Here is a 12,001-nt window from a genome sequence, read left to right as displayed (position 1 = left end):
GGCAAGAGGGCAGAGAGAAAGGAAGAAATGATTTGTTGGGGGAACGTCTTCTCAAAAACATGGCCTGTAAGCTGGACCTATAAGTCAGTGTAAGATTCAAGAAACTAAGATATAAAAAGCTGGAGGGAGCCTCTTCCTGGTGGAAGTTGAGCCTGGAAATGTGTACATACTCGGGAAATGAGAAGTGCTATGCCCCTGGGTTAGGGTTGCCAGAGAAAATGCAGGATGCCAAGTTTGAATTTCAAATAAATTTTCAGTACAAATATGTCCCAAATATACAAAAAAAAAAAAAACACTGCTTACCTAAAACTCAAATATAATATAACCGTGCATCCTATGTTTTTATTTGCTAATTCTGGCAGCCCTATCCTGGGGTGAGAATAAACCTGCTTTGAAACCTGCGACCTAGGTCGCAGTTCAGGGTTCCCCCCCCCGCCAACCCCATTTCTGGTTTGCTACCTTCATGAGTCATTTGGCATTCTTGACTCTGGGCTTCACGGGGACCTTTATGAACTGTCAGCAAATCACTTGGTGTCACTTTGTTATTAACGGTCACCGTCCCCATCCCCCAGGCAGAGATGAATGGAAAAATCTCAAATTTGTTCATCCTGTTGAAGGTCACTGTGTCTTCCGTTTTTATGTTGGCGTCTTTATTTCTGAGATCTTATCTCCTTTTTTTCCCCCTTTGAGATTCATTAACATCATGATGGGAAGGAATTCATTACCTTCATGGCTGTTGGGAAGAGAGGCAGGCAGGGGGGATCCAGCAGAATGGAGTGTCTGAAGCCTACAGCACTGGCTGTGAGGTGCAATGAGATAACCAGGTCTTCAGGGTGGGCCCAGAGCTGCTACAGGCTGGTGGCATTTTGTGCCAACTCTTGGGGCGTGTCTAGCTTCCACCCAGGCTGGGCCTTCCAGAGGTTATCAGCAGTGAGAGAAGCAGCTGCTAAACCTTCACCTACAGAAGAGTAGGCTGGGCAATCTGCAACCAAGTCAGAGGCTGAGGACATGAAAGGCAGTCCTCAGGACCCTCCCCTCATCCATAAAACATGCCATGCAGAGTCATTTCACCCCCCAGCATCCATTCACTGTTCCAGAAAGGTACACCTATTCATCTTTCTCAAAAATGTTTATGGAGAGGAATTATCAGCAAGAGAAAACAAATTCTCAGGCAAGATACTGCCCTTTGTGGGATATCTATTTCTGTAGAACCCTGACAATGGGGATGATGTCTGGTTTGACTGCGGTATGCCTGAGAGCACTGGGGAGAGACAAGCTTTAGGAAAATCCCTGGGGCTGGGGGGATTCTGCTACCCTGATGCCTGCCTATATGATGGCTTAGTTGAAAGACAGATGTTGAAATGAAGTTTCTGAGATTAAAGGAAAGTGAAAGGGGGTGTTCTTTACTTGTTGATACACTCAAAGCTTGCACAGGCTCTCAGGCCAGAAGACATGAGACAAAAACTAATAATGGTAAGAAATGACCCCCCACTTCAACTCAGCTGCCTCAAGCAGGAGGATTTTTCCCATCAGGTGCCACAGACAGAGGACAGAGGACCTACGAGCTTCTCAAGAGCCTCGAAAAATGTTTCATGCACTACAAAAATTCTCATTGACTCCAAGTTACAAAATGAAAATTCCACAGTCAAAATGTAATGAAATGCCCTGAAATTCTGTGTTACATCAACTCTATACATCGTTATACTTAGTATCTGTAAATTTTTTTATATTTGAAAAGAATTAGCAGATTCTTTCACTTCAAGGAATTCCTAACTATGCACAATGATTTCTAAGAAACCACAGCCATTGAAAATAAAATTAGCAAAATAATCCTCAAAGTAAAATTATTAAAATGCCCCCAAAAACTATTTTAGAGAAAATGAATTGCATTTCCAGTGGGATGTGGGGGCATTTTGGTGTGTGCTATGTCATGGGTCAGTGCATCTAGAAATTATACTGCTCAGCTTCTACAAAGGTCTGAACAATCCTGGTCCCAAAGGACCAGGGCCTCCTCAAAAGTTGTAAAGAAAGCAGGTGTACACAGGCAGAAGTGAGAAAGACATGGTCTTTGCAGCCAACTAACTGTTTTGTTCATGTCACTCAGAGACCATTGAAACTGAAAGGAACCCTGGTCATCATGGTGCCCAGTGCAAGGGTGGGGCTGGTCTCTCAGTCTCCAGACATCAAACTTATTTGGTAAGATGAGACACCTGAGGCTCAGAGAGGGAGAGGTCATCACCTAAGGACACACAGTACGAGCTTTCATCAGGGGCCATAGACACAGGATTGAGGAACTACAAGGTTAGAGATCAGACTCCAGACCCCTGCCTCCCAGACTCAGTCCTTGCCACTGTACTATGCCTGGGCTTCCTGCTTCCTTCTCCAGGACACTGAGTCATCCCCCATCCTTAGCAGAATATGTGGGTCACTGGACATTCACTTGCTGGTTTAATTTTGGAGATTCTAGCTCCTATTCTTAGATGTTTATCAATGTTTGCCATCCGTCTGTTCATCCTTGGGCTTTCCTAACCTTGGTCCAGGCACGCTGCTTCCTAGGCCTTCTGGTTGGAGGCCCACTTTATCCTGTGCAAATCACCTAGGCCAAGATTCCCCTTCCAGCCAGGGCTCAACTAGCGGACCAGCCAGCTGGCTGACCCCACAGCCACAGCAATATTTTGGCACCTGGACCATGCCCTCTCTCGCCCCCTTGTGGCCACTCGGAGAGGTGCACCACCTGGGACTCAGGGTCCACCCCATGTGTGCCAAGTGCATTTGAGCCAGCTTGATTATTATTTCTCAAAAGGCTTCCTTATTCCTGGATGACCGTTACTTGGGCAGCACTAACTCTTCTCCACTCCTGCTCTCCCATTTAATTGTCCATGGCAGCCTCAGACTCCCCGTTTGATTCATCAGTCCATCAACTCCCAAGGATTCTTGAGCACCAGTCAAAGGCGATCAATCTGTGGATGAGGATGCAGTCCATGGCGGGAAGTTACAGCCAATAAAGGGCAGCTGAAGCACTCATCAAAAATTTAATAATTTGTGGTTCAAATTAGACTGTGCCAAGAACTTCAAGAATTAAGAAATGGGGTAATGTAGCTGTGGAGGTCCCAGCGAGAAAATAATCAAATTGGTCTTTGGGAGACAGGAAGTCTTTTGAAAACAGAAGGAAAGGAAGAAGAGAATTCTGGAAGAAAACAAAACCCATGAGAAGCAATAACTAACAGCCTGAGCAACATGGGGAAACCCTGTCTACACCAAAGATACAAAAAATTAGCCGGGCGTCGTGGCATACACCTGTGGTCCCAGCTACTTTGGGGGCTGAGGCAAGAGGATCACTTCAGCCTGGGGAAGTCAAAGCTGCAGTGAGGCAAGATCATACCACTGCACTGCAGCCTGGGCAATAAAGTGAGACCCTGTCTCAAAAAATAAAATAAATTAAAAATAAGTAATAACTAAGGTAGAATTATGGTTTAAATAGTATTTCCAAGGAAAAAGATAAAATGGAGATGAACTTTTTTTTTTTTTTTTTTTTTTGAGATGGAGTCTCGCTCCTGTCATGCAGGCTGGAGTGCAGTGGTGCAATTTTGGCTCACTGCAACCTCCACCTCCCAGGTTCAAGCGATTTTCCTGCCTCAGCCTCCCGAGCAGCTGGGATTGCAGGTGTACACCACCACGCCCAGCTCATTTTTGTATTTTCAGTAGAGATGGGCTGGCCAGACTGGTCTCGAACTCCTGACCCCAGGTGATCTGCCCCCACCTTGGCCTCCCAAAGTGCTGGGATTACAAGCATGAGCCACCGCACCTGGCTGAACTCTTTCTTATTATCTTCTCTAGGTGCTCAGATTCCTTTGTTAGTTCTTTTTGCAAAGCACACACCACACTCTGACTCTGCAATGTTTACATGCTCTCCCTTCTGCTATTCATTAAGACCCTCTTGGCTGCAAGTAACAGAAATCTAACTGAAATTAGCTACAGTGAAAAAGAAATGTATGGATGGATATAACTGAGAAGGACATGGAGAACACTGCATAAAGTAAGCCTTCAAATCCAGGGCTGGCACAATATAATCAGTGTGCTCTCTTTTTCAGCTCTGTCTTTTGCTCTGCTTTTCACTGTTTGGGGGCCTCATTCTCTCCTCCCACAGCTGGGCTTCCTCTAAGTGTCAGGGATAATGGCTTCCAAGGCAACCAGTTTCACATCCTTCCAGCTGTGACCCTAAGAAATAGTAAGAAAATGTCTTCTCCACTTGTCTCCAAGGAAAGCCTTTCCTTGACCAGCACCCCACTTCTCTTCTCTCCCCTGGATCACAGGAGCTAGAAGCCTGGGAACTACATGTTCCAGAATCCCTGTCTTCAGAGTCCTGCATCGAAAAACACCCATGAGAAGCACTTGCCAAGATCTAGAAGGTAGAAAGAAGGCAGAAGCCAGATTTTTGCCCCTCTGGCAATGTCAAACTTTGGGCTTAGGCAGACATGGCATTTTCCAGCAGCTTCTAGGTACTTTCCTGAAAATCTCAGGCCTTGGGATTGGAGGCAACTGAGATCATCCCTAGTAGTTTTCCGAGTTCCTTCAAATTCCCTATCTGTGAAAGCTAGTGACAAAACCAGTGGCCTTCCTTGACCTTGGCTTGTCCAGACTGTCTTTTGAGTTTTGTTTGTCCAGATTTTCCAAGCACCTGATTGCCTTCATTAAATCCCTTTCCACATGGAAGGCCTAGAGTGGTTTCTGTTTGTGACTATACCCCAGGTGATTTATGCATGCACCTTGTGTGGGAGTATGGGGAATGAGGGAAGTCAGGGAGAAAATCCTAGGAGCCAAATCAAGAGCAAATAGTCGAAGAAATGTTCAGGTAGGGGACGAGGTAAGACCATGAAGGGTGCTGAGTGCCAGACAGACTCGATGTGCTGGGGAAAAAGGAAGCCAGGTGAATATGATGACAAGGGCCACATTTTAGGACAACCCATGGTGGCATGTATGGGACAGATAAGGATGAGGGCAACAGAAAGGAGGCAGTAGCAATAGAAGTGCCCTAGAATGGGGAAATGGGAAAGTACAGAAAAGGGTGTATTTGACAGGTGTGTTGGAAGAAAAAGCAGGATATTTTGGTATATTGTAATTAAGGACTTAATAGTGGCTGCCATTTATGAAGTTATGATTATGCATCAGGTGACGTGCTAGGTTCTTTACTTATATTTGTTATAATCCTGCAAGGCCAAAACCATCTATATTTACAAAGAGGAAAACCAGGTTCTAGGAATATTCTTTGATAGGCTCAAGGTCAATCGGCCAGGGACATGAGCCAGAACTTGAGCTCTCCTCTGCTGCCCTTCACAGCGTACATTCATCCCACCAAACTGGGCTGCTTTTTTTCCCACTCCGGGCCTTTTAACAACAAACAGCCACGCTCCATCCTCACCTGGTAAGAGGCAGTGGCAGATAATCAGAAGAGTAGAGCCTCTGTCCCCCTGACATGAAGCTCTTAAGAGGGAATGACCAGTCAAATCCAAATTGACAGATATTCTGTAAAACAACTGGCCTGATCTCCTTAAAAAACGTCAATGTTATAAAAGACCAAAAACAAAAAAGACTGAAATACTCTTTGAGATGAAAAGAGACTCAAGAGACTTGACAAGTAAATGCAGTAAGTGATCCTGGATTGAATCCTAAATAAAAAAAAAAATACTATAAGAAACATTTTGTAAACAATTGGGAAAATAAGCCAGATACCCGTTAAATGGTAATGTATTGATGTGAAATTTCCCAAGTGTAATCATTGTATTATGGTTCTGTGGGAAAATGCCCTTGTTCCTTGGAGATAAACTGAAATATTTAGAAGTAAATCAACACAATGTTCCCAAGTAATTCTCAGATGGATTAGCAAAATTAGTTAGGTAGCTGGGTAAGGTAGACAGAGAGAATGCAGATGTGGCAGAATGCTAACCATTAAAGGGTCCAGGGGGGTTACCATACAATCTTTCCATAGTCTGAAATTTTTCAAAATAAAAATGAGGGAAAAAACCTTAAATGTATCCATTGCCCCACCCCTGCAAGGGAGAGAAAGGAAAAAAGAGGAAGGCCTTTAAGTTGAACATGCCTGAGTTTGCAACAAAGCGTCTGCCACTTCCTAGCCGTGGGACCTCTGAGCCCTCAGCTGGAGAAGTGCGCAGTAATGCCAACCCACTGTGCTTCTGTGGGGGTGATGTCAGACACAATCGGTGTGAAGCCGGGAGCTCAGCATCTAGCACAGTGTTCTCACTGTTCATATTTGTTCTCTTCCCTTCCTCCTTCCTAATCCCCATTTCATCTGCAGAATCCATTCAACTGGGCACTGAGGGAGATTAGCTCAGGATAAATAAGAAAAACTATGGATCCTGCAGGGCACACAATGGAGACGTGACGCCCCTGCAGGGACACTGACTGCAGCCTGCCTGCCTACCTGTGATGCAGGCTGGCCAATCCTCTGAATGTCAGACTTTTGGCTGGGGACATCGACCAGCCAAAAGTCAAAAATGCCTCCATCCCAGATTTTGTCACCCACAATTTGCTGGTTAATATCACAGATGAGAACTCAGACACAAACCAGAGTTTCTCAAAGTGGGGTCCCTCAGCCCATTGGCAACAGAATCGGCTGTGGCTCAGATTCCTGAGCCCCACTCAGCTCTGTTGAGTCAGCTTCCCTGGAGTGGCCATGGGAGTGTCCATGCTAACACTGATGTCTATGTGGCTCCGAGGCACAGTCGAGTCTGAGTGCCCCTGACCTGCACTGTGGCTGTGGGAGATGTGCTACCTTATTGCAAAACTGGTCCACTGGAGGAGTAAATTCCTGTGGTGAGTGCCTAATAATAACATGCAAAGGCTATACCTACCACAAAAATGTCTGTCAATAGGAGCAAACAGAAATACAAATCGACTTGTACATAAAGATAAAACCGGGCCTGGCACGGTGGCTCATACCTGTAATTCCAACACTTTGGGAGGCCAAGGCGGGTGGATCACCTGAGGTCAGGAGTTCAAGACAAGCATGGCCAACATGGTGAAACCCCATCTCTACTAAATATACAAAAATTAGTCAGGTGTGGTGGTGGGCACCTGTAATCCCAGCCACTCGGGAGGCTGCAGCAGGAGAATCACTTGAACCCAGGAGGTGGAGGTTGCAGTGAGCCGAGATCGTGCCATTGCACTCCAGCCTGGGAAACAAGAGCGAAACTCCATCTCAAAAAAAAAAGAAAGATAAAAGCATGAGGCTTAGGAAGAAAGCAGTGCTTCTCTCTGGCCTGCGCCAGCTCCTGACTCAAAGTGTGCAAATGAGACACTGCCCAGCCTTGGAGTGAGGAGGTCCATAGTCTAGAGCCCCCAAACAATCATTGCATCTTAAGACTGAAAGGATCAGAGTGGGCTCGAAGGCCTGGGCAGAAGAAGCCCCTCCACCCACCACGACTCTGGAAAACCACAAAAACCAACAGTTCTCTCCTTCAGACATTTGCAATACGCAATGATTCTATAGTATCTTGTAAATCCTAAGAGATCCAGAAATCCTAATGAGGAGATGCTCACTTAGATTCTGCTCCAGATCTGCCAGTGCCTCTCTGCACTGTGCCCAGCAGCCTCAGAGGACTCTGTGGGGGTGGATGCTCTGTCGGATGCCACTTAGGTGAAGGAAGATGACAGCAGTCATCTGGGTTCCCTGAGGGCCCTGAAAGAGCTTGTTAGTGGATGTTTGGTTTGGAAGGTTACTGAGCTCCTTCCTCTCTCTTCCAGCCCAAGAGATCAGACCATTTGGCCAGGAACATTCCCTTCCAACTCTGAGAATCCTCCATGCCAAGCTAGCTCCTGCTCAGGGCAGGCATCTCCCCACAGGGTCTGAGCTATTTTAGGAGACTTGATATCCCGCACTCAGCCCTAGGGAGGGGAAGAAAAGGACAGACAATTGGGCGATATCCACCCCCATCCCCAGACTGAGAAAGATGACAGACGGCCATTTGCAACTTTAACTCTTTCTTGGCTCTGGCAAAGACCAATGCATCCCACTTAGCAAAGCCTCAGATGGCAGCATGGTAACCATTTCAATTCGAGAAAAAAAAATAACAAAGTGTAGTGGGAGAAAATTATGCATGGAAAGTGACTTTTAAAAATTGCCTTTAAATATTACAGCCAAAGTGAGAGGCTGGAAATTGCATCAGAACATTTTTTGGTGTGGTTTAACACTGAAGAAATCAACCACTTTCCCAACTGCAGGGCTTCAAGTAATATTTCATCTTTTCAGGAACACCCAAGTTTAGTTTGACAAAGAGGAAAATTGGATTAAACTCTTCAGATTTAGGGTGTTTTCCTGGCACCCTAGCACATAAAGTCACTCACAAGTAAACCCAGGTAAATTTAATCTTGGTGGTTTCAATGTTTAATGCCTTTATGTCCTTTTTTTTTTGAGACAGGGTCTCACTCTGTCACCCAGGCCAGGCTGGAGTGCAGTGGCACAATCATGGCTCACAGCAGCCTCGACCTCCTGGGCTCAAGCAATCCTCCCACCTCAGCCTCCCAAGTAGCTGGGACCACAGGCACACGTCACCATGCCTGGCTAATATTTTATTTTGTATTTTTTGTAGAGATGGGGTTTTGCCATGCTGCCCAGGCTGGTCTCGAACTCCCGGACTCAAGCAATCCACCCACCTTGGCCTCCCAAACTGCTAGGATTATAGGCGTGAGCCACAGTGCCTGGTATGTCTTTTGTTTCAATTGTTACCGTCAGTATACAAAGCCCAGGTCCAGGAGCTGGGTGGGTCTAACATCTGGACTTCTGTGCACAGACAGGATGCTCTGCAGGAAGATGTGGAAGGGAGGGAGAGATGGACACAGCCAGCAGGAGGAGAGTCTGCAATGATTCTACAAAGATAAAGGTGCCCTTTTACACATGGTGGTGTGGTTTAAGGCCGGAGGTAATAACTGAGATTTAAGAACTGTGACTCAGTGAATGTCTGTTGGATTCAATCCCATACACAGTCACTGGGGCTAACACTTGGCAGGCACTCGGCCACCCACCAGGGTGGGCAGAAGTAAATAATGCACAGCCCCTGCTGCCTGGTCTCCAGACCTCTCTCAAGAAGAGGAGGATCACACATCCTGGGCACCTGGTAATCCCAAAGCTAATCCCCCATAGAAGAAAACCTAAAGGTGCTGGTGGGCACGTAGTATTTAAGTCCTCCTCAGTTGCAGAAAAACACTGCTGTGTTCTTGATCACCACTTGCTTCTGAAGCAAAGCAAGCACAGCCTCAAGGTCTGACCGCCCACCCAGCCCTGCAGATATCCGCAGATATTCTCTCTCTGCCGGCACCCTTAGAACACGGGGACTCCTTGGCACCTGGCTGACCTGTGATGTCCTCTGACCAGGCCTGATTTCCTTTCTCCCCACGTTCACTTCCTCCTTGCCTACAAGCTCCACAGATCCTTCTGCCAGACCTTCAGGCTCTCTGACCCAGACCTTTCTGCCCCTACATGCCCCTGTGTACTTCTGACTCTTATGGGCCTAACTTGACCTATTGCCAATAAGCCCCAGGTTCCAGTGGTGGCCTTCAAGACGGCTATCAGTCTGAAGTTTGGGACTGAAAAAGCCACTGCACTCAGTGGATTTGCAGCCTCCATAATCTATGCTGCACTTGCCAGATGCAGGCAGTTTGACCATTAAGATGCATCGCTACAAAGCAATTCAACTCATTTGCTCTCTTAGCACCCACCTGTAGATCAGGGCCCTGCGTACACAGCCCCTTGAGTAAGGTCACCAGAGAAAATATACAGCATTCAGTTATACTTGGATTTCTGGTAAATAAATAAGAATTAGCTATAAGTATGTCCCAACTATTGCATGGATGTCCTTTGTTGTTGTTTTTGAGACAGAGTCTCCCTCTGTCACCCAAGCTAGAGTGCAGTGGCACAATCATGTCTCACTGCAGCCTCAACCTCCCAGGCTCAAGTGATCCTCCCATCTCAGCCTCTTGAATAGCTGGGACTACAGGCTTGCACAACCATGTCCAGCTAATTTTTTTATTTATTTATTTTTTTTTTTTTAGGAGTCTTGCTCTGTCGTCACCCAGGACAGAGTGCATGGTGCGATCTTGGCTCACTGCAACCTCCACCTCTGGGTTCAAGCGATTCTCCTGCCTCAGCCTCCCAAGTAGCTGGGGTTACAGATACCCACCACCACGCCTGGCTTATTTTTGTGTTTTTTTTTGTAAAGACAGGATTTCACCATGTTGGACAGGCTGGTCTTGAACTCCTGACCTCAAACAATCTGCCTGCCTCAGATTCCCAAAGTGCTGGGATTACAGGCATGAGCACCCAGCATAATTTTATTTTTTTGTAGAGACCAGGTCTCACTATGTTGCCCAGGGTGGTCTCCAATTGCTGGGCTCAAGCAATCCTCTTTGCCCTGGCTTTCCAAAGTGCTAGGCATGAGCCACCATGCCCAGCCTGTTTTGTTTTTTCTAAATATGGCAGCCCTATCCTAAGACACCTCTACTATCCTGAATGGAAAACAATGATCTGCCAGCTCCCGTTTTGCAAACAGGGAAACTGTAGCCCCAGAGATCACAGAGGATGTCAGGTAAGAACTCAGGAGTCTTGACCCCAGACTGGAACTCTTTGCTTCCATTACACTTAACTTCGCTAAAGGCATGTACCCTCTTGCTAGAGGTGACTGTTAGTCACCTGGAGGTGATTTCAAAGGGGTCACTGAGGTCATAATTTATGACCTCTCTGCTCCACCCCATCCTCACCTCCACCCCCCTTTCTATTGCTGTAGGTATTAACAGAAGCTATCCTGGGTTATGGCCATTCTGGGACCATATCATTAATGGCCACCTCAGGGAGGAAGTGGGCTGTAAGCGGCAGGGTCAGAGACAGCTGTGAGTGAGAGCCCATCATTGGGTAACACAAGGACAAGTGGGATTTGAAACAGGCAAACACCGGGCAAAGCATGTTGGGAGAGGCCCACTTAATTCACAGAGACACTTGGAATTAGCTGTAAATTCTCTGGGAAGAGATCAAGGCAGCGGCATAAACAGCTCAATTAAACTGTTGGCTCAATGCTCAGTGCGCGGTAATGGTCAAAACACAGACTTTAATCTAGATATAGAGGATTATTTCTCGACCCGTAATGAGATTCCTAAGATTAGTTGTACCTGATGTGGAGAGAACAGCAGCTGGCTCAGCGACACTGGGGACAGGCTTACATGTCAGCAGGACTGGGACTCACGTGGAAGCGGCTAACTGGATGCCACAACTTTCCTGGAGCCCCCTCCGGATGCCAGGAAGGCAGGGATGAGTCATGTTCTGCTTCCTCAATTTAAGAGATCTGGGAACAGAACCCCAGAATGCATGTGCTTCAAAAGTACAGCAAGTCAACACAGTATGGCTCTGGCATAAAAACAGACATATAGACCAACGGAAAGAATAGAGCCCAGAAATAAACCCGAGTATATATGGTCAACTAATTTTCAACATGGGCACCAAGAACACACAATGGGGAAAGGACAGTCTTTTCAATAAATGATATTGGGAAAATTGGATTTTCACATGGAAAATAATAAAATTGGACCCTGACCTTACACCAGACACAAAAATCAACTCAATATGAATCAAAGACCTAAATGAAAGACCCAAAGCTGTAAAACTCCTAGAAAAAAAACACGAAAGAAGAGCTCCTTGACACTGGCCTTGGCAATGATTTTTTTGGGGTATCACACCAAAAGCATAGACAATGAAAACAAAAATAAACAAGTGGAACTACATCAAGTTAAAAAGCTTCTGCATAACAAAGGAAACAATCAACAAAATGAATCGGCAGCCTAAAGATTGGGAGGAAACATTTGCAAACCACATATCTGATAAGGGATTAATATTTAAAAGATGTAAGAAACTCACACAACTCAATAGCAAAAGGGTTTTTTGTTTGTTTTGAGATGGAGTCTTGCTCTGTCACCCAGGCTGGAGTGCAGTGGCACGATC

General features: G+C 46.1%; 3 annotated features.

The window, feature by feature from the left end:
- Nucleotides 1,182-1,251: an enhancer, noted in NCBI's record as "active region_28410". NCBI's record gives its function as "activates an Ori minimal core promoter by ATAC-STARR-seq in GM12878 lymphoblastoid cells {active_cell/tissue: GM12878}" and the evidence as "EXISTENCE:reporter gene assay evidence [ECO:0000049][PMID:35858748]".
- Nucleotides 2,590-2,884: a silencer, noted in NCBI's record as "tiled region #13386; K562 Repressive DNase matched - State 12:CtcfO". NCBI's record gives its function as "represses a minimal TATA promoter and a strong SV40 promoter by Sharpr-MPRA in K562 cells {active_cell/tissue: K562}" and the evidence as "EXISTENCE:reporter gene assay evidence [ECO:0000049][PMID:27701403]".
- Nucleotides 2,594-2,643: an enhancer, noted in NCBI's record as "active region_28409". NCBI's record gives its function as "activates an Ori minimal core promoter by ATAC-STARR-seq in GM12878 lymphoblastoid cells {active_cell/tissue: GM12878}" and the evidence as "EXISTENCE:reporter gene assay evidence [ECO:0000049][PMID:35858748]".

This window comes from Homo sapiens, chromosome 9 (assembly GCF_000001405.40).
Source record: "Homo sapiens chromosome 9, GRCh38.p14 Primary Assembly".
NCBI classification, from domain to species: Eukaryota; Metazoa; Chordata; class Mammalia; order Primates; family Hominidae; genus Homo; species Homo sapiens.
Note: the sequence above shows the minus strand (reverse complement) of the source record. Positions and strands in the feature narration are given on the sequence as shown.